This window comes from Homo sapiens, chromosome 10 (genome assembly GCF_000001405.40).
Source record: "Homo sapiens chromosome 10, GRCh38.p14 Primary Assembly".
Taxonomy (NCBI): Eukaryota; Metazoa; Chordata; class Mammalia; order Primates; family Hominidae; genus Homo; species Homo sapiens.
The window spans coordinates 68,769,391-68,792,410 of record NC_000010.11 but is presented as its reverse complement, the minus strand read 5'-3'; the positions used below and the strand labels follow the sequence as shown (position 1 = coordinate 68,792,410).

The 23,020-nt window shown below is 42.0% G+C and overlaps 1 protein-coding gene across 4 annotated transcripts in view, besides 1 other annotated feature; it reads right to left on the bottom strand.

Annotated features, from left to right (window-relative positions):
• Positions 1-33: 33 nt before the first annotated feature.
• The window catches only part of CCAR1 (cell division cycle and apoptosis regulator 1), a 71,139-nt gene continuing 48,152 nt past the window's right edge, over positions 34-23,020 (bottom strand). For all 4 annotated transcript variants that reach the window (NR_104262.2, NM_001282959.2, NM_018237.4 and 1 more), the window contains 8 exons: positions 20,966-21,205; positions 19,312-19,423; positions 6,193-6,275; positions 5,719-5,865; positions 4,364-4,484; positions 4,083-4,268; positions 2,496-2,701; positions 34-1,204 (listed from right to left, as the gene is read on the bottom strand). Coding sequence is in view for 3 of the 4 variants with exons in the window: in NM_001282959.2 (NP_001269888.1) it covers positions 1,145-1,204; positions 2,496-2,701; positions 4,083-4,268; positions 4,364-4,484; positions 5,719-5,865; positions 6,193-6,275; positions 19,312-19,423; positions 20,966-21,205 (1,155 nt within the window). In the remaining variant the exon portion in view is untranslated. The remainder of the gene's footprint in view (positions 1,205-2,495; positions 2,702-4,082; positions 4,269-4,363; positions 4,485-5,718; positions 5,866-6,192; positions 6,276-19,311; positions 19,424-20,965; positions 21,206-23,020) is intronic.
• Positions 6,805-6,974: an enhancer, noted in NCBI's record as "experimental_16884 CRE fragment used in MPRA reporter constructs". NCBI's record gives its function as "activates a minimal promoter by MPRAs in K562 erythroleukemia cells, with activity observed for both the introgressed and non-introgressed 10:70545279 variant alleles {active_cell/tissue: K562}" and the evidence as "EXISTENCE:reporter gene assay evidence [ECO:0000049][PMID:34662402]".

The window sequence follows — 23,020 nt, the reverse complement described above, 5'->3', positions numbered from 1 at the left end:
GTATCCACTAAAATTCTGAAGGAAGTACACAGGTTAATTTAAAAAAATATCTTTAATTAAAGAAGACTTAATTTAAGGCATCATACTGACATCTACTGGCTTGGTACTAAACTGTAAATTTGACATACACTGCATTTTTTTTTAAACCCTCAAAATTAAAAGGAATATAGATGCTATTCTGGGAAAGTAGAAAAATTAATTGAAAGCAGTAACATTGACATCAGGACAACTAATATTATGTAAAGTCTAACCCATAAAGAACAATACTAGTTCTCTATTGCTTCTTTCTTTCTGATATACTGTCTTTCAAATAAACTGATTTTTTTTTTTTTTCTTTTTGAGATGGAGTTTCACTCTTGTCGCCCAGGCTGGAGTGTAGCTGCATGATCCTGAGTGACTGCAACCTCCGCCTCCTGGGTTCAAGCGATTCTCCTGCCTCAGCCTCCCAAGTAGCTGGGATTACAGGCACCCACCACCATGCCCAGCTAATTTTTATATTTTTAGTAGAGACCGGGTTTCACCATGTTGGCCAGGCTGGTCTCGAACTCCTAACCTCAGGTGATCCACCTGCCTCGGCCTCCCAAAGTGTTGGGATTACAGGTGTGAGCCACCGTGCCCGGCCTGAACTGAATTTTTAATGAATGCTTTTAGAGACTGATCAAGAGGGGATTTTTTGGTGATGAGTAAAAAAAACAAAAAGTTTCAAAAAACTTGCAAAAATTAAGCATCATGCTATTTTATGATTTTGACTGAAATTTTAACAGATGAACTAAAAATTTTAAAACCTAATAATTCTATAAATTAAAAATTTCTAGGCATTTTAATAAAAGAAATTTGGTAATTAAATACTACAGTCAATTAAACTGATGAACTTTATTGGAGTTAAAACTATAACAAAGTTCATCCTAAAACACTTTGCAATGCAAAATTATTTCACTCAAGGAGTGTTTAATAATTTGAAGGCTAGGAATTACAAGCAATTTTCAAAAGCAGAAACTCACATTCATAAAACTTTATACATCATTTGAACTAAAATACATTTATACTACTAAAATCAAACATGCATCACCTTCAAACATTCTTATATCATGATTTTTATATATTACATTATTTAACACCATTCCTCATCACTACATGGATTTTATCATACACTGGCACCATTCTCCTTGGATTTTTGATCTTTGTCTTCATTCTTTACATTATCCTATAAGACAATAGAGAAGGAAAAAATACATTTTATTAGATTATCTTAAATGTTACTTTGATTTTAGAGTACAATGGTATTCAGTTTGGTATACTTTTTTCTAGTGATAAAGAACAATAAATTAATTTTAGTATCTTAAAATTAATGGTGACGAAGCATTTACCTCAATTCTGCCCAAGAATAAATGGGGTCTAAAAATGCAGTGAATGGGGCAGGTGTGGTGGCTCATGACTGTAATCTCAGCACTCTGAGAGGCCAAGATAGGTGGGCTGCTTAGCCCAGGAGTTGGAGACCAGCCTGGGAAAGATGGTGAAACCCCGTCTCTATTTTTTTTTTTTTTTTGAGACAGAGTCTCGCAGTTTTTTTATATTTTTAGTAGAGACGGGGTTTTACTGTGGTCTCAATCTCCTGACTTCGTGATCCGCCCACCTTGGCCTCCGAAAGTGCTGAGATTACAGGCATGAGCCACCGCGCCCGGTCTGAAACCCTGTCTCTAAAAAAAATATAAAAATTAGCTGGGTGTGCTGGAGCACACCTGTAGTCCCAGCTCATCAGGAGGCTGAGGTGGGAGGATCACGTGAGCCTAGGAGGCAGAGGCTGCAGTGAGCCAAGATAGCGCCACTAACAAACCAGCCTGGGCAAAAGTGCAAGACCCTGTCTCAAAAAGACAAAACAAAACAAAAAAAACACAGAGAAGTGAAGTGAATGGTTTAATTCAAATTTATACTCTGGATTAAAAAGAAATAAAAATGAAATTTGCTTCAAGAAGTCTGTATACTTAAATCATGTTGACATTCCAACTAAGATTTAGAAAAACAACATCTTTTGGGAATCACTTTTTTTTTTTTTTTTAAGATGGGGTCTAGTTCTGTTGCCCAGGCTAGAGTGCAATGGTGCAATCTAGACTCACTGAAACCTCTGCTTCACAGGTTCAAGTGATTCCCGTCTCAGCCTTCCGGGTAGCTAGGATTACAGGTGCCCGCCACCATGTCTGGCTAATTTTTTTTGTATTTTTAGTAGACATGGGGTTTCACCACGTTGGCGAGGCTGGACTTGAACTCCTGACCTCAGGTGATCCGCCCGCGTTGGCCTCCCAAAGTGCTGGGATTACAGGTGTGAGCCACTGTGCCCAGCCTGTGAATCACTTTTTACTAATCTCAGGAAGGTCACAATGCTATCATTATTTGCTTTTAGAATAATCACTAAGAGCTTAATAACATTAAAATACATTAAAAACACCAGAGTTAGATTTTTAAAACTAAGAAAATGTTAAAAGTACAAAATTTCTCACCTTCTTGAGAACAGTGTGGATTTCATCCATTACCGTAGATAAGTTTCTGATTGTCTTATTCATTTGGTTTTCAAATTGTAAATTCATGTTTTCCGAAATCTTTAAGTTTTCTTGTAACTGACTAAGGTCCTTTTTAACTTCTCTGAGTTCACCAGAGAGGCTTTTGTTGGAATTCTCCAAATTTAATATGGTTTTTTCATCTTCATCTGTTTAAAAAAATCCAAAAATTAACATTTTACTTCCTAAAATTTCAAATTTAACTTTGAGGTTAAAATATTTAAGCTGTGAAAATAAAAAGCTGATAGAATTCCATAAAATGGCAATGTCTGTCAATTTCATTAGTCATAAAGCACACTGCAATATTCATTTATTTATGTATTTACTTTTGAGACTGAGTCTCACTCTGTTGCGCCAGCTTGAGCGAAGTGGCACGATCTTGGCTGGGATTACAGGCGCGTACCACCACACCCAGCTAATTTTTGTATTTTTAGAGACGGGGTTTCACCATGTTGGTCAGGCTGGTCTCGAACTCCTGACCTCAAACAATCTGCCTGCCTCGGCCTCCCAAAGTGCTGGGATTACAGGCGGGAGCCACCATGCCTGGCCTGTTTCATTTAAATTTTTAACTTGTATTATTTCAAAACCTATGTTCTATTTTTAGATGACTGTATAGATTAGAGAACACAGACTGGTAAAAACTAAGTGGAGGCCAGGCGCAGTGGCTCATGCCTGTAAACCCAGCACTTTGGGAGGCTGAGGTGGGCGGATCACGAGGTCAGGAGATCGAGACCATCCTAGCAAACATGGTGAAACCCTGTCTCTACTAAAAATACAAAAAATTAGCCAGGCGTGGTGACACGCACCTGTAGTCCCAGCTACTTGGGAGGCTGAGGCAGGAGAATCGCTTGAACTTGGGAGGTGGAGGTTGCAATGGGCCAAGATAGCCCCACTGCACTCCAGCCTGGGTGACAGGGCAAAACTCTGTCTCAAAAAAAAAAAAGTGGAACCAGAAGATGATTAAAAGGATGCAACAGGTAACAATGAACCTGAGAATACACAGGAAGACCTAAGATTCAGATAAAGCTAAGCAATTTTATAACCTGAACCAGAAATAGTGAAAAGTAAAGGTCCCTGCAGAGCATGGTGGCTCCTGCCTGTAATCCCAACACTATAGGAGGCCAAAGTGGGTGATCCCTTGAGGTCAGGAGTTTGAGACCATCCTGGCCAACATGGTGAAACCCCATTTCTACTAAAAATACAAAAAATAGCTGGGCATGGTGGCGCATGCCTGTAATCCCAGCTACTTGGGAGACTGAGGTGGGAGAATCACTTGGATCCGGGAGGCAGTGGTTGCAGTAAGTTGAGATTGTGCCACTGCACTCCACTTGGGTAACGGAGTGAGACCCTGTCTTAAAAACAAATAAATAATAAAAAATTTTAAAAAGTTCCTTATGTACTTCGATGAAAATATCTGGTATGCATATGCAAATGTGTACACAGGTACGTATATATGTATGTACACACATAAACATATACGTGTCCCAGCAGGGTGCTGAAAGTATTAACATATTCAAAGCTGACCCTTACCTGTTTTTTCTTCTAGTAACTGCAGCTTCTGTTCTACCTCAGCTCTTACTTTTTCGCTCTTTTCCAATTTTTGCAAGAGGCTTCCTACATCTACCATTGCACCATTGTACACAATGAGGCCAACATTTTCTTCCACATCCTTTGATTCCTGCTTTACTGTTGGTGTTGGAAGTAATAATCTGTTTCCTATAATATAAAATATACCATATTTTAGTAAGTTATTTTTCTTCTTTAATTACTAGTATATTTATTAAAAAGCAAAATCTTAATATTACTCAGACCTAGCATATCTTCCTGCAATGACTCAGACTCTTCATGGTTCTCTTCATCTTTTGAGGTGTCTGTTAATTTCCGGTAAAAGCAAGATTCACGGAGCACTACTTTATTAAGAAGCTTCTTTACCTGTTATGCATGCAAGTAAACAAAATACAGAGATGAAAATACATTTCTTGATTCTCTTAGAAAAACTATGATATAATTTTCACTTTCTTTTGAGAAAGAGTCTTGCTCTTGTCGCCCAAACTGGAGTGCAGTGGTGTGATCTCGACTCACTACAACCTCCACTTCCCAGGTTCAAGCGATTCTCCTACCTCAGCCTCCAGAGTAGCTGGTATTACAGGCACCCGCCATCATGCCTGGCCAATTTTTGTATTTTTGGAGAGACAGGGTTTCACCATGTTAGCCAGGCTGGTCTTGAACTCCTGACCTCAGGTGATCCACCCTCCTCCGCCTCCCAAAGTGCTGGGATTACAGGTGTGAGCCACTATGCCCAGCTGTAATTTTCACTTATGATGGAAATCCATGGAATTGAGTAAGATCCAAGTTACTTTTGAAAAAAAAAACTTCATTGTTAAAAAGTATAACATTGATAAAAATTTATGCACAGGGATGATTTATTACAGCATAGTTGGTAAATCCAATAAATGAAAACCACCAGCAATGGAGACTAGGTAGGTAAATTATGGTACATCTGTATAATGGGTACTGTGCAGCTATAAAAAGAATGAGGCAGGTCTCTATTTTCATGGTGAATGTATCTATAGAATACTGTGGAATGAAAAAAAAAAAGCCAGTCAAAACGTACAGAATAATTCCACGTTTTGTTTATAAAAATGGAACTGAGCTGCTTACAAAAAGATCTAGAATTTTATATATTGTAGTCCTAAGGAGTAGAAACAGAGGGAGAGGGAGAAGGGAAGTGTTTTACAACTGGCTTGTGTTATATTGCTTTATTTTTATTTTTTGAGATGGAGTCTCACTCTGTCACCCAGGCTGGAGTGCAGTGGCGTGATCTTGGCTCATTGCAACCTCCACCTCCTGGGTTCAAGAGATTCTCCTGTCTCAGCTTCCCGAGTAGCTGGGATTACAGGCGTGTGCCACCACACCCAGCTAATTTTTGCATTTTTAGTAGAGACGGAGCTACGCCATGTTGGCCAAGCTGGTCTTAAACTCCTGGCCTCAACTGATCTGCCCGCCTCAGCCTCCCAACCTGCTGGGATTATAGGTGTGAGCCACCACGCCTGGCCCTTATATTGCTTTAATATATCAAAAAGTCAACAGAGGTTCTATTAACTTTTCACTGGAAAGGTAACTTTTAAAAAATGTTTTCCTTTTAAATATTCACAAGATAGATTACCTGAGCCCGAGAAAGATGTAGTCCAAGAGTATAAAGTATTTCTTCCAAATCCTTTTCAAGAAGGTAACCACAATGACTTTGATCAAAATAAACAAAAGCCATTAACAGATCTCTGTTAATTGTGATCATTTGAGTCTTTTCTTTTTCCTAAGAAAATGGAGAAGTAGAAAACATAGTATTCAAATTTCAAATTTTTTACCCCCAAAAAGTGAGAAACGGAGACTGTGCATAAGATAGCAATAATCTAATAAGATATTTGCCTCATCCTAGCTAAAATGAGTTTATCTGGTATACGAATATGAGAGAAAAGAATCAGACATACTAGTTATCTGACATAGCCACAAAAAAACAACTGACAGAATTTTACTTAGTGGTAATAAAGATGTATAAGGACTAATAAACTTCACAACTGTGTTATGTTTAGATGATGTAAGATATCACCATATTATAAAGAATACAGTATTCAATAAACACCTTATCTTTAGAGGGCCTCTCCTTGCAGTATCTGTTGATATCTCTTTTGTCATCTCGTTTGGTCATTTCTTCCTCATCCCTATCTGTAAAATAAATATAACAGTGGCAAAAAAGTCATTAATACACATACTTTCAAGTGGGCACAGTGGCACATGACTGTTATCCCAGCTACTCAGGAGGGCCAGGCGTTCGAGGGTGTAGTGAGCTATGACTATACCACTGCACTCCAGTCTGGGTGACAGATCAAGACCCTGTCTTTTAAACAACAACAACAAAAACATAAAGAGAAAACCTTATGCTAAAACATACATGAACCTTGATAACAGGCTAAGTAAAAGAAGCCAGTCACAAAAAAATCACTTATCGTGTTATTCCATTTATAAGAAATGTCCAGAATATCTACAGAAACAAAAAGCAGACTAATGGTTGCCTAGGACTGAAGAGGTTCAGGGAAGATGGGGAATGGCTGCTAATCAATCTCTTTTGGGTTCTTGGTATGAGGGTGATAAAAATGTTCTATAGTTAATTGTGGTGATGGTTGTACAACTCTGAATATATTAAAAACCACTGACTTGCATACAGGCACAACTTGGGAGTTACTGAAGGCTCTGGTTCAAGACCACCCCAATAAAGCAAGTACTGCAATAAAGCTAGTCAAACAAATTTTTTGGTTTTCCAGTAGATAAATTATGTTTACAGCCAGGTACAGTGGCTCATGCCTGTAATCCCAGCACTTTGGGAGGCTGAGGCAGGTGGATCGCTTGAGCTCCGGAGTTTTAAACCAGCCAGTGCAACATGGCAAAACTCCATCTCTACAAAAAAATACAAAAATTAGCCAGGCATGGTAGCACACGCCTGTAGTCCCAGTTGCGCAGAGGGCTGAGATGGGAGAATCACTTGAGCCTGGGATGGTGAAGCTTCAGTGATCCATGTTCATGCTACTGCACTCTGGCCTGGAAAACAAAGCGAGACCCTGTCTCAAAAAAAAAAAAAAAGTTATAGGGCCGGGTGCGGTGCCTCACGCCTGTAATCCCAGCACTTTGGGAGGCCGAGGTGGGCGGATCACGAGGTCAGGAGATCGAGACCATCCTGGCTAACACGGTGAAATCCCGTCTCTACTAAAAATACAAAAAATTAGCCTGGCATGGTGGCCGGCGTCTGTAGTCCCAGCTACTCGGGAGGCTGAGACAGGAGAATGGCGTGAACCCAGGAGGCGGAGCTTGTAGTGAGCCGAGATTGTGACACTGCACTCCAGCCGGGGTGACAGAGCGAGACTCCATCTCAAAAAAAAAAAAAAAAAAAAGTTATGTTCACACTATAATCAAGTGTGCAATAATAGCATTATGCCTTAAAAAAGTACATATATTAAAAGATACTTTATTTCTAAAAACACTAACAATCACCTGAGCCTTTGGCAAGCAGTAATCCTTTTGCTGGTAAAGGATCTTGCCTCAGCCTGGGCAACATAATGAGACCCGGTCTCTACAAAAATAATTTAAAAAATGAGTCAGACTAAGTAGCGCATGCCTGCGGTTCCAGCTACTTGGGAGGCAGACGTGGGAGGATCACTTGGGTCCCAGAGCTTGAGGCTGCAATGAGACATGACTGCACCTCTGCACTCAGCCTGGGTGAAAAGTGAGACCCTATGTGATGCTGTTTGATAGCATCTGACCCACAGAATAACCTCTTTTAAAATTAGAGTCAATCGCCGAACATGGTGGGTCACGCCTGTAATCCTAGCACTTTGGCAGCCCGAGGCAGATGGATCACTTAAGGTCAGGAGTTTGAGACCAGCCTGGCCAACATGGTGAAACCCCATCTCTAAAAACACAAAAATAAGTGGGGTGTGGTGGCGTGTGCCTGTAGTCCCAGATACTCAGGAGGCTGAGGCTGGAGAATTGTGTGAACCCGGGAGGCAGAGGTTGCAGTGAGCCGAGATCACGGCACTGCACTCCATCCTGGGCGACAGAGCAAGACTCCATCTCATAAATAAATAAATATATAAATAGAGTCAATCCCCTCCAATCCTGCCACTGCTTAATTAAGTTTACATAATATTCTAAATCCTTTGTTATTTCAACAATGTTAACAGCATCTTCACAGAAGCAGATTGCATCTCAAAAAAACACTGTCTTTGCTCATCCATAAGAAGCAAACAATTGGCCGGGCGCAGTGGCTCACGCCTGTAATCCCAGCACTTTGGGAGGCTGAGGTGGGCGGATCACGAGGTCAGGAGATCGAGACCATCCTCGCTAACATGGTGAAACCCCGTCTCTACTAAAAATACATAAAAAAAATTTGCCAGGCGTGGTGGCGGCCGCCTGTAGTCCCAACTACTCAGGAGGCTGAGGCAGAATGGCGTGAACCCAGGAGGCGGAGCTTGCAGTGAGCTGAGATCGCGCCACTGCACTCTAGCCTGGGCGACAGAGCAAGACTCCATCTTCAAAAAAAAAAAGCAGCAAACAATCATCAGTTTAGTTTATCCTGATATTGCAGCAGTTCCATCCCATCTTCAGGCTGCATTTCTAATTTTAGTTCTCTTGCTCTATCATACCTGCAGTTATTCCCTCTACTGAATTATTGAACCCTTCAAAGTCATCCATGAGAATTTTTAGTAGAGTTGGGGTTTCACCATGTTGGCCAGGCTGGTCTCGAACTCCTGACCTCGTGCCTTCCTCAGCACTCAAGAGTATGGGATATCCCCAGGGCTGGACCAGATCCTAGAACTTCAGAAAGACATGGATGAGGCCAGGAACGGTGGCTCACGCCTGTAATCCCAGCACTTTGGGAGGCCAAGGCAGACAGATCACGAGGTCAGGAGATCGAGACCATCCTGGCTAACGTGGTGAAATCCTGTCTCTACTAAAAACACAAAAAATTAGCCAGGCGTGGTGGTGGCTACTCAGGAGGCTGAGACAGGAGAATGGCATGAACCTGGGAGGCGGAGCTTGCAGTGAGCCAAGATCGTGCCACTGCATTCCAGCCTGGGCAACAGAGCAAGACTCCGTCTCAAAAAATAAAAAATAAAAATAAATAAATAAATAAATATTTAGCTGGGCATGGTGGCTCATGCCTGTAATCCCAGCTACTTGGGAGGATGAGGTGGGAGATAATTTGAGGCCAGGAGGTCCAAGGCTGGATTGAGCCATGATCACGCCACTGCATTCCAGCCTGCATGACAGAGTGAAACCCTGTCTCAAAAAAAAAAAAAAAAAAAAGAGTAAAGTGAAATTACTCTCTGATCCAAGGGCTGCAGAATAGATGTTGCAGCCATGAAACATTAATCTCCTTGTACATCTCCATCAGAGCTCTGGGTGACTAGGTGTGGTGTCAGTGAGAAGTAATATTTTGAAAAGAATCTTTTTTTCTGAGCAGATCTCAACAGCGGGCTTAAAATATTTAGTAAAAACGTCGGTTACATGATAAAGGAGTAAAAAAAAATTCAGTAAAGCATTGCTGTAAACAATTGTCATTCTCACTTTGTTCAATTTCTAGGGCACAGGTACGGTAGGTTTAGCATAATTTTTAAGGGGCTTAAGATTTTTGGAATGGTAAATGAGTACTGGCTTCAGCTTAAAGTCACAAGCTGCATTAGCCCTAACAAGAAAGTCAACTTGTCCTTTGAAGCCAGGCACTGAATGCTCTTCTCTAGCTGTGAAAGTCTTAAGATGGCATCTTCAGCCGATGGAAGAAGGCTGTTTTGTCTCCATTGAAAATTTACTTAGCATAGCCATTTTCATCAATGATCTTAGCTTCTACATAAGCACTTGCTGTTTCAATGTGCCTTTTTTTTTTTACCCGCCCCCAAGAGGCAGGGTCTTGCTCTGTTAACCAGGCTTGAGTGCAGTGGCGTAATCATAGCTCACTGCAGCCTTAAATGCCTGGGCTCAAGCAATCCTCCCACCTCAGCAACTACCTTGTACTTTTACCTTAAGGAGATGGTTGCTTTCCTTAAACCTCATGAATCCACCACTGGTAGCCTCAAACTTTTTTCTATAGCTTCTTCATCTTTCTTAGCCTTTATAGAATTGAAGAGAGTTAGGGCCTTGTTCAGAATTAGGTTTTGCCTTAAGGGAATGTTGTGACTGGTGTGACCTTCTATTCTGACCCCTAAAACTCTCTCCTTATAGCAATAAAGCTGTTTCATTTCCTCACCATTTGCATGTTCACTGGAGTAGCACTTTGAGTTTCCTTCAATAACTTTTCCTTTGCATTCACAACATGGCTAACTGACGCCAAAAAAACTAGCTTTTGGCCTATCTCAACTTTCAACATGCCTTCTTCACTCACTTTAACGATTTTTAGGTTTCACTTGAACACTCCAAGGCCATTTTGGGTTTTTTCTTTGTTATTATGATTATTATTTTTGAGACAGAGTGTTGCCCTGTTGCCCAGGCTGGAGTACAGTGGCACAATCATGACTCACTGCAACCTCAACCTCTTGGGCTCAACAGATCCTCCTACCTCAGCCTCTAAAAGTATCTGGGACCACAGGGGCATGTAACCACACCAATTTTATTTTTTTTTGTAGAGATGGGGTATCACTATGTTGCAGATGCTGGTCTTTACTCCTAGCCTCAAGTGATCCCACCTCGTTATCCTCCCAAAGTACTGGTATTACAGTCATGAACCACTGAGCCCAGCCTAATTATTAATTGGCCTAATTTCTTTTTTCTTTGGAGACGGAGTCTTGCTCTGTTGCCCAGGCTGGAGCGTATGGCATGATCTCAGCTCACCGCAACCTGCATCCTGGGTTCAAGTGATTCTCCTGCCTCAGCCTCCCGAGTAGCTGGGATTACAGGTGCCCGCCACCACGCCCGGCTAATTTTTGTATTTTTAGTAGAGACGGAGTTTTACCATGTTGGCAATGCTGGTCTCAAACTCCTGATCTCAGGTGATCTGCCCACCTCAGCCTCCCAAAGTGCCGGGATTACAGGTATGAGCCACCGCACCTGTAATTGGTCTAATTTCTTTTCTTTTTTTTTGGAGACAGAGTCTCACTCTGTCACCCACGCTGGAGTGCAGTGGCGTGATCTCAGGTCATTGCAACCTCCGCCTCTCTGGTTCAAACAATTCTCATGCCCCCAGCCTCCCGAGTAGCTGGTATTACAAGCGTACACCACCACACCTGGCTATTTTGTGTATTTTTAGTAGAGACAGGGTTTCGCCATGTTGGCCAGGCTGGTTTCAAACTCCTAACCTCAAATGATCCACCCGCCTCAGCCTCCCAAAGTGCTGGGATTACAAGCGTGAGCCACCGTGCCTGGCACAATTGGCCTAATTTCAATGTTTTGTCTCAGGGAATAGGGAGGCCCAATAAGAGGGACAGAGATAGGGGAATGGCAGGTTGATAGAGTGATCAGAACACAAACAATATTTATAATTAAGCTCGTCATCTTCTATGGGCACAATTCAAGGTGCACCAAAACATGTATAATAGTATTATCAAAGATCACTGATCACAGATCACCAAAACAGACATAGTAATAATGAAAAAGCTGGAAATACTGTAAGAATTACCAAAATGTGAAAGAAAGTCAAAGTGGCACATGCTGTTGGAAAAGTGGTGCTGATAGGCTTGCTTGGCGTAAGGCACTATCTTTGGCGCACAATAAAGTGCAGTGCAAAAAAAACAAAGCATGCCTATAAAGTGTCTACTTGTATGGTATGTGAATTACATTTCAATAAAGGTGTTATTAAATAAAAAATTAAGCAAATGTTCTAATGGCTGGGTGTGGTGGTTCATACCTGTCATCACATCGCTTTGGGAGGGAAGCAGGAAGATGGCTTAAGGCCAGGAGTTTGAGATCAGCTTGGGCATCATAGTGAGACCACATCTCTATAAAAAATTTAAAAATTAGCCAGGTGTGGTGGTGCACACCTGTAGTCCTAGCTACTCAGGGAACTAAAGTGAGAGAATCACATGAGCCAGGAGTTCAATGCAGCAGTGAGCCACGAGCGTGCTACTGCCCAGCCTGGGCAACAGAATAAGACTGTCTTGAAAAAGAAAGAATGAGAGGGAACTTCTCCTTGGAACCTAGTCATTTACTTATTTTTGATGATTGAAAAATACTCACAATATAATCCACATTATTTGGGTATTTATATTGAGAGGTGTCACTTTCAAAACTGTCTCATCCGAAACTTGTATTTTTGAAATAACTTTTGAAATATTCAAGTAGTATTTATTCATCACAGAAAATAAATCAATCCCACCACACAAAATGAGAGTAGTGATCATGTCCTATTTTTTCCCCATATATACACACTTATCAACACTAAATTTATTTATAGAACATGCTATCTACAAAAACCCTTTAAAAATCTTTTTCCATGTCACTACACTTCTCCAAGTTTTCTTCAATGGGTGCACAGAATTTTAACTGCATGACTATATTACCAAAGTACAATTTAATAATTCTCTATTCCTATTCAGATTGATTCCATAGTTTTGTTTTATAATAAATTATGGAATGATCACTCATGTTGATATTTTAAAGGATATGGCTAATTCACATTTCCAAATTTCTGTTCAGAAAAGGTATAACAATGTATAGTCCCAAAGAAGAGTGATGAAAGTGTAACTCCTTTTACCCTTGTTAAACTGTGTTACCTTTCATTTAAAAATTTAATTTTCATTAACTTGATAAGAAAAAGATAGGCCGGACGTGGTGGCTCACGCCTGTAATCCCGGCACTTTGGGAGGCTGAGGTGGGCGGATCACCTGAGGTCGGGAGTTCGAGACCAGCCTGGCCAACATGGTGAAACCCTGTCTCTACTAAAAATACAAAAATTAACCGGGCATGGTGGTGCATGTCTGTAATCTAAGCTACTTAGGAAGCTGAGGGCACGAGAATCGCTTGAACCTGGGAGACAGGGGTTGTAGTGAGCCGAGATCACGCGACGACACTCCAGGCTGGGCGACAGAGCAAAACTCTGTCTCAAAAAAAAAAAAAAGTATCTTATTGTTATCTGCTCTCCTAATTACTAACAAAATTCAACACCATTTAATACATTTACTGATACTGTATTTTCATGTTATAATTCTGCTTTTGTATTCTAAGAAGTGTAGTCTCAGCCAGGCACAGTGGCTCACGCCTGTAATCCCAGCACTCTGAGAGGCCGAGGCAGGCGGATCACAAGGTCAGAAGTTCAAAACCAGCCTGGCCAATATGATGAAACCCCATCTCTAATAAAAAAACAAAAAAATTAGCCAGGCGTGGGCCTGTGATCCCAGCTACTCAGGAGGCTGAGACAGAAGAATTGCTTGAATCCGGGAGGCGGAGGTTGGAGTGAGCTGAGATCGCACCAGTGCACTCCAGCCTGGTGACAGAGCGAGACTCCGTCTCAAAAAACAAACAAAAAAAGAGTAGTCTCCAGGAAACTTAACAGGATCATGAGATATAAAATATGAAAAAAAGTGGTAAAACAGAAGCAAGCAGCAATTGGAAACTCCAGGGAAACAAACAAAAAACAACTATAATCCTATCAACATATATTTGGAGCCTATTTAATTATTTAGACTGTTCCAGGAACTTGGAATATATATTAACAAAGAACACAGATAAAAATCTCTTTTTCTTACATAACAGCTTTTATTCAAGTGTAGGGGTAGAGGGAGACAGGCAATGAGCAAAATAAAGAGTATGTAATAAAATAGGTCATAAATTCTATGGAAAAAAAAAAAGGAGAGGATAAGAGACCAGAAATGTGCAGTAAGGGAGGGCGGGGGATTGCAATTTTAAATAAAGTAGGGGGCACAGCAGGCTTCACTGACAAAGTGATACTTGAACAGACTTCATATATGAGAAACTAAGGAAGGTGGATCTCCAGGAAAGACCCTGCTAGCAGAAAGAACTGCCAATGTAAATCTCCTAACATAGAAGCATATGTGAGGGGTCCACTCTTCTCAAGAAGAGGGGTTAAGAGATGTAACTGGAGACATGACGTGGTAGAGTCTTGTAAGTCATTGTGAGCACTAGCTTTTTCTTTTCTTTTCTTTTGAGATGGAGTCTTGCTTTGTCACCCAGGCTGGAACGTAGTGGCACAATCTCGGCTCACTGCAACCTCTGCCACCCGGGTTCAAGTGATTCTCCTGCCTCAGCCTCCTGAGTATCTGGGATAACAGGCATGTACCACCACACCCAGCTAATTTTGTATTTTTAGCAGAAGGGGTTTCACCATGTTGGTCAGGCTAGTCTCGAACTCCTGACCTTGTGATCCGCCTGCCTTGGCCTCCCAAAGTACTGGGATTACAGGCATGAGCCACCGCACCCGGCCTTCTTTTCAGACAGGGTCTTGCTTTATTGTCGAGGCTGGAGTGCAGTGGTGTGATCATCGCTCACTGCAACCTCCGCCTCCCGGGCTCAAGTGATCCTACCAGCTCAGACTCCTGAGTAGCTGGGATTACAGGCATGCACCACCAAGCCCGGATACATTTTTTATTTTCTGTAGAGACACGGTGTCGTCATGTTGCTCAGGCTGGTCTTGAACTCCTGAGCTCAAGTGATCTGAACAGTGGCTTTTTTTTTTTTTGAGACGGAGTCTTGCTCTGTCACCCAGGCTGGAGTGCAGTAGTGCAATCTCAGCTCACTGCAACCTCCACCTTCTGTGTTCAAGTGATTCTCACGCCTCAGCCTCTTGAGCAGCTGGGATTACAGGTGCGCGCCACCATGCCCAGCTAATTTTTTGTATTTTTAGTAAAGACAGGGTTTCACCATATTGGCCAGCCTAGTCTGGGACTCCTGGCCTCAAATTATCCACCCGCCTCGGCCTCCCACAAAGTGCTGAGATTACAGGCGTGAGCCACCATGCCCAGCCTGAACAGTGGCTTCTTCTATGAAGTAAAAATGATGGGGATACACTGGAAGAATTTGAACAAAAGAATGAAATAAATTCTAAATTTTGCGAAGATCATTCTGGCAATTGTATTGAGAAACTTTATTGTAGAGGGGAGGAAACACGTAAACAGGTTAGGGGTCTATTAATATAATCTAGGCAAGAGATAATGTGGCTTGCATTATAGTCAAATTAGTGGAATTCGTAAGAAGTGGACTGATTCTGGATAAGTTATGAAAACAGAGCAAATATAACTTCCTGATAGATCGGAAGTAGGGTACTGCAGAAAGAAAGGAATCAAGGATGACTCCTGGGTTTTAGTCTCAACAACTGGAAAGATGGAATTGTCATTAAATGAGATGGTTGGCAAAGGCTAAGGTTGTAGGATTTGTGTATGTTTTCTTTCTGGTGAAGGGGTTAGCAGGAATTTAGTTTCAGATATACTGATTTTGAAATGCCAGATAACTAAGTGGAGGTGTCAAGTAGACAGTTCAATATGAGAGACTGGGAGAGAAGTCTGATATGAGATAGAAATTTGAGGCTTGGCACATCCTTGTAATCCCAGCACTTTTGGGAGGCCAAGGCAGAGGACTGCTTGAAGCCAAGGAGGTCAAGACCAGCCTGGGCAACATACTGAGACCCCATCTCTACAAAAAATTAAACAGCTGGGTGCAATGGCATGCACCTGTAGTCCCAGCCACTCAGGAAGCTGAGGAGGAGGACTGCTTAAGCCTAGAAGTTTCAGGCTGCAGTGAGCTATGACCATACCACTATACTCCAGCCTGGGTGACAGACCTTATCTTTTTCTTTTTTACAGACGGAGTTTTGCTATTGCTGCCCAGGCTGGAGTGCAATGGCGTGATCTCGGTTCACCGCAACCTCCGCCTCCTGGGTTCAAGTGATTCTCCTGCCTCAGCCTCCCAAGTAGCTGGGATTACAGGCATCCGCCACCACGCCCAGCTAATTTTTTGTATTTTTACTAGAGGTGGGGTTTTCAATATGTTGGCTAGGCTGGTCTCGAACTCCTGACCTCAGGTGATCCACCCACCTTGGCCTCCCAAAGTGCTGGGATTACAGATGTGAGCCACTGTGCCCAGTCCAACCCTATCTCTTAAAAAAAAAAAAGAAAAGAAAAGAAAAGAAAAAGAAAATTAGAAATTTGAGAATTAACAGTATATAGACAGCATTTAAAGCTAGGAGAATGGATGAAACCAACATTAAAGGAGTGAGAGGAAAAAATAAACTAAGGCTGGGCTGGGGTCAGTGGCTCATGCCTATAAACCCAGCACTTTGGGAGGCTGAGGCGGGTAAATCACGAGGTCAGGAGATCAAGACCATCCTGGCCAACATGGTGAAACCCCATCTCTACTAAAAATACAAAAATTAGGCTGGGCGCAGTGGCCCATGTCTATAACTCCAGCACTTTGGGAGGCCAAGACGGGAGGACCACCTGGTCAGGAGTTCGAGACCAGTCTGGCCAACATGGTAAAACTCCGTCTCTACCATAAATACAAAAATTAGCAAGGTGTGGTGCCACATGCCTGTAATCCCAGCTACTTGGGAGGCTGAGGCAGGAGAATTGCTTGAAACTGGGAGACAGAGGTTGCAGTGAGCTGAGATTGCGCCACTGCACTCCAGCCTGGGCAACAGAGTGAGACTCCATCTCAAAAAAAAAAAAAAAAAAAAAAAAAAAGAAAAGAAAAATTAGCTGGGCGTGGTGGCAAATGTCTGTAGTCCCAGCTACTCGGAAGGCTGAGGCAGGAAAATCGCTTGAACCCGGGAGGCAGAGGTTGCAGTGAGCCGAGACTGTGCCACTGCACTCCCGCCTGGTGACAGAGCCACACTCTGTCTCAAAAAACAAAAAACAAAAAAAAAAAAAAAAAGAAAATGAGGCTGACAGCTGGAACACTAACAAAATAATGAGAATACTATTTAATGATTCAACTAAAGCAGCAATAAAATAATACTGGGCGTACAGGGGAGAGAAAATGGGGCTGTAAAAAGGGCTTAAGTCTTCATTAAGTAAAGCAAGTAATGAAGATAAACACTGCTGTATGAATATTATGTCACTGCTAATGAGTTACTATATTAAAGCAAATAAGAGGAGATATTACATAGTAATAATAGATGCTATTACGACCTTATTTTCTTAGGTGTGATTATGGAATTGTGGTTATTTCAGAGCATGTTTTTTCCTTAGGCAAACTGAAGAATTCATATGTTAAACTGGGTTACAAAAACAAAACAAGACAAATATTAACAATTATTGAATCAAAGTTGATGGATACACAGGTGTTCACTGCACTATCAACTTTTTGATCTTTTCAACTTTTTCATTAAACAATATTAAAAACTGATATGGTAGAGAGAAGAAAATGTAGAGGCAAACAAAATATACCGTAAATAAAAGTAATTGCCAGAGACACAAACTGTAAAAAAAAAAACAAAAAGAACTCTTATAATTTTCTATATCAGAAAAATATAATTTTTTAAAAAGCCACAAATCTACCTAGAAAAGAACAGGTAAGGTATTCAGAGGCACTTTTGAGGTATTTGATCGTTGATGTCTACGGTCAGAGCATCTACTGTATTTTAAATGTCACCGCATGGTTAACAAAGTCTGTCTTATAAAACTTAGGCGAAAGGTATATGGGTGTTTATTACTATTAGCCTTTAAACTCTATATGTACTCTTTTGCATTATGATAGTCTTTGTTAAACAAAATGCCCAAATTAGTTTTTTTTTTTTTTGAGATGGAGTTTCCCTCAGTTGCCATGGCTAGAGTGCAATGGCACAATCTGGGCTCGCTGCAACCTCTGCCTCCCGAGTTCAAGCCATTCTCCCGCCTCAGCCTCCCCAGAAGCTGGTATTACAGGCGCGTGCCCGGCTAATTTTTTGTATTTTTAGTAGAGATGGGGTTTCACCATGTTGACCAGGCTGGACTTGAACCCCTGACCTCAGGTGATCCACCCGCCTTGACCTCCCAAAGTGCTGAGATTACAGGCATGAGCCAGCACACCCAGCCCCAAATTAGTTTTCTAAAGAATATATTTAGAACACGTATGTAGCTCACGCCTATAATCCCTGCATTTTGGGAAGGTGATGTGGGCAGATTTCTTGAACTCAGTAGTTCAAGACCAGCCTGGGCAACAGAATGAGACCCCGTGCCTATGAAACATTTAAAAATTAGGCCGGGCACAGTGGCTCAGGCCTGTAATCCCAGCACATTGGGAGGCCGAGGTAGGTGGATCACCTGAGGTGGGGAGTTCGAGACCAGCCTGACCAACATGGAGAAACTCCATCTCTACTAAAAATACAAAATTAGCCGGGTGTGGTGGTGCATGCCTGTAATCCCAGCTACTTGGGAGGCTGAGGCAGGAGAATCGCTTGAACCCGGGAGGCGGAGGTTGCGGTGAGCTGAGATAATGCCATTGCACTCCAGCCTGGGCAACAGAGCAAGACTCCGTCTGAAAAAAAAACAACAAAAAAAAAATTTAAAAATTAGCCAGGAATGGTGGCAAGCACCTGTAGTCCCAGTTACTCCAGGGACTGAGGTGAGAGGATCATACTGAGCCTGGCAGGCTGAGGCTGCAGTGAGCTGTGAGCATGCCACAGTACTCCAGCCTGGGTAATACAGTGAGAACCCTGTCTCAATTAAAAAAATAAAAAATTAGTATATGAAACATCAAGGACTATTATACATTTTTTTTTTTTTGAGACAGGGTCTCACTCTATTGCCCAGACTGGAGTGCAATGGCACGATCTTGGCTCACCACAACCTCCGCCTCCCATGCTCAAGTGATTCTCCTGCCTCAGCCTCCAGAGTATACCTGGGATTATAGGCACGCGCCACTACCGCCTGGCTAATTTTTGTATTTTTAGTAGAAATGGGGTTTCACCATGTTGGCAAGGCTGGACTTGGAACTCTTGACCTCAAATGATCACCTGCCTTGGCCTCCCAAAGTGCTGGGATTACAGGTGTGAGCCCCCATGCCTGTCCTATTATAGCTTTTATGGCACAGCTTAGGCACCATGTTCCGGGAAATTTGTTCCGCCAAATTGAGTATTAATTATATATGAGACATAGGATAATTAGTAATAAATATGTCTTCAAACAATCTTCTCACCTAAAAATCAGAAAAACTTTCTCACTGAAGAGTATATTACTCTTTCTATTCTAAAGAAAAAAATGTTAAAAGTATAGATTTCAGTGAATACAATGTCAGCAAACAAAAAATGTATTCTTAACTCTAAGAAGTAATAAATAAATTTCAATCATACCATCTTCTTCATCCTCAGCTTCTTCTGCTTCCATAGGGTCATATTCATCTTGATTGTTATCTTCTTCAGTTTCATCATCATCTTTAGAATCATCTTTTCTTTTATCTTCTTTCTATAATTTAAAATGCCTTTATTATTTATTTACTTATTTTTAGAAGACGGGGTTTTGCCATATTGCCCACGCTGGTCTCCAACCCGTGGGCTCAAGCGATCCACTGGCCTGGGCCTTCTGAAGGGCTAGGATTATAGGCGTGAGCCACCACAGCCAGTAGTTATATTATTATTATATTATCATAACAATTATTATATATTATTACATATATATATGGTTTTTTTTTTTTTGAGATGGAGTCTGGCTCTGTCGCCCAGACTGGAGTGCAGTGGCACAATTTCCCTTCACTGCAACCTCCACCTCCCAGGTTCAAGTGATCCACCCACCTCAGCTTCCCAAAGTGCTGGGATTACAGGTGTGAGCCACTGTGCCTGGCTTAAAATGGTTTTAAATTAAGCAAGAAATCCCACCACACATTAAATTACTAAAACTGAAAAATAGTAAATCCACTGAAGTTATTTAAAAGTTTTACATTGCAAATTACTTTTTTTTTTTTGTTTTTTTTGAGACACAGTCTCACTTTGTTGCTCAGGCTGGAGTGCAGTGGCACAATCTGGGCTTACTGCAGCCTCCAACTCCTGGGTTCAGGCAATCCTCCTGCCTCACCCTCCCAAGTAGCTGGGACCACAGGCACATGCCACCATGTCCAGCTAATTTTCCTAATTTTTGTAGAGAGGGGGTTTCACCATGTTGTCCAGGATGGTCTTGAACTACTGGAGTCAAGCAATCTGTCCACCTTGGACTCCCAATGTGCTGGGATTATAGCAGCGAGCCACTATGCCCATACTATAAATGTATAATAATAATTAGGCTGGGTGCGGTGGCTCACATCTGTAATACCAGCACTTTGGGAGGCTGAGGTGGGCAGAGCGCTTGAGGTCAGGAGTTCAAGCCTGGCCAACATGGTGAAAACCTGCCTCAAAAAAACAAAAAACAAACAAACAAAAAAATTAGCTGGGCAAGGTGGTGTGCACCTGTAGTCTCAGCTACTTGGGAGACTGAGGCAGGAGAACTGCTTGAACCTGGGAGGGAGAGGTTGCAGTGAGCCAAGATTACGCCACTGCACTTCAGCAAGCCTGGTCAACAGAGCAAGACTCCGTCTCAGAAAAAGGAAAAAAAAATTTTAAGAATAAAGTATTAGAAAACTAGCTGTAGATGCTCATATTGGCTTAATTTGAAGATCTGAATTTCTTATCTTTTTTTTTGAGATGGAGTCTCGCTATGTCACCCAGGCTGGAGTGCAGTGGTGCAAGCTTGGCTCACTGCAACCTCCACCTCCCAGGTTTAAGCAATTCTCCTGCCTCTGCCTCCCCAATAGCTAGGACTATAGGCATGTGCCATCATGTCAGGCTAATTTTTTGGATCTTTAGTGGAGACGAGGTTTCACTGTGTTAGCTGTGATGGTCTCAAAGACTTGATTTTCTAATATAGTAAAATCTTTCAGTTTGGCTTTTACATCTAATATTCTGATGGAAATCAACATCAACCTTTATAACCTAGAAGAGTAACTGAAAGCTTCTAAAGCAGGTTGTTATTACAGACCTTCCTTTCATCTCTATCTTCTTTTTTATCTTTATCATCGCCTGATTTTCTCCGTTTGGGTTTTGGTTCATCAGTTTCATCATCTCTTTCTTCTTTTTTATCTTTTCTCTCATCTTTTTTGCTTTTTTTATCCTTTTCTTTTTTGTCCTCTTTCTCAGGAAGAGACAGTAATGATTTGTATATACGGACACCAAAATCTCTTTGAAGCATTTCGTTGAAAAGTTCCGCAAACAATGAAACCTATAAAAAGATATCAACATGAACCTAGCCAAATTTCAACAGAAATAATAAAGCTAGCAGAGTAATTTAGCAAATAAAAACTTGCCACATACAACGATTATGTAAACTTATCAAACTTTTTTTTTTTTGAGATGGAGTCTCGCTCTGTCGCCCAGGCTGGAGTGCAGCGGCACGATCTTGGCTCACAGCAAGCTCCACCTCCCGGGTTCACGCCATTCTCCTGCCTCAGCCTGCTAAGTAGCTGGGACTACAGGCGCCCGCCACCACGCCCGGCTAATTTTTTTGTATTTTTAGTAGAGACAGGGTTTCACCATGTCAGCCAGGATGGTCTCGATCTCCTGACCTTGTGATCTGCCCGCCTCGGCCTCCCAAAGTGCTGGGATTACAGGCGTAAGCCACCGCGCCTAGCCACTTATCAAACATTTTAACACAACCATTAATCTTTTTTATTTTTATTTTTTTCTAGACAGAGTCTTCCTCTGTCACCCAAACTGGAGTGCAGTGGCATGATGTGGGCTCACTGCAACCTCTGCTTCCCGAGTTCAAGCCATTCACCTGCCTCAGTCTCCCGGGTGGCTGAGATTACAGGCTTGTGCCACCAAGCCCAGCTAATTTTTGTATTTTCAGTAGAGATGGAGTTTCATCATGTTGGCCAGGCTGGTCTTGAACTCCTGACCTCAGGTGATCCGCCTGCCTTGGTCTCCCAAAGTGCTGCGATTACAGGTGTGAGCCACCCCGCGAAGCCAACCAACCGTTAATCTTCATGATAAGTGTACCTTATTCATTTACTCAATAAGTTTTAAGTCAAATGCCTGGTATGTACCAGGGCCTGTTTTAGGCATTAGGGATACAGCACTGAAGAAAGCTGATAAAAACCCCTCCTATCATCCAGCTAGTGGAGAGAATAAATAACCAAATCATGAAGTCTCTGTTAACCTATTCTGGTTCTAGGGCTGCCTGGTTTTTAAGAAAATGAACAACCAAATCAACATCAAATTATATGAAAAACAAGCAGGATAAACACCTAGAGTATAACAAGAGAGAATAGTAAGACAAGGCCTCTCTGATAAGGTGACATTTAAAAAGTAACCAGAAGGCAATAAGGAAATAAGCCATATTGGTATCTAGAAGAAAATTCTGGATTAGGGAAACAATTTTAAGCCCTGAATAGGGAGCATCTATTACTATGCAAGCATCCACAGATAATGGGCTATAGCATACGCATAAACCTAAAACTATATAATTTTTTTTTTTTTTTTTTTTTTGAGACAGAGTCTTGCTCTGTCACCAAGGCTGGAGTGCAGTGGCGGAATTTCGGCTCACTGCAAGCTCCGCCTCGCCAATTCACACCATTCTCCTGCCTCAGCCTCCCCAGTAGCTGGGCCTACAAGCGCCTGCCACCACGCCTGGCTAATTTTTTTTATTTTTAGTAGAGACGAGGTTTCACCGTGTTAGCCAGGATGGTCTCGATCTCCTGGCCTCATGATCCCCCCGCCTCGGCCTCTCAAAGTGCTAGGATTAAAGGCGTGAGCCACCACGCCTGGCCTATATTATAAATTGTTATGTACCTATTTATTTTTTCTTTGAGATGGAGTTTCACTCTTGTTGCTCAGGCTGGAGTGCAATGGCACTATCTTGGCTCACCGCAACCTCCGCCTCCCAGGTTCAAGCAATTCTCCTGCCTCAGCCTCCCGAGTAGCTGGGATTACACGTACGCGCCACCACGCCCAGCTAATTTAGTATTTTTAGTAGAGATGGGGTTTCTCCATGTTGGTCAGGCTGGTCTTGAACTCCTGAACTCAGGCGATCCGCCTG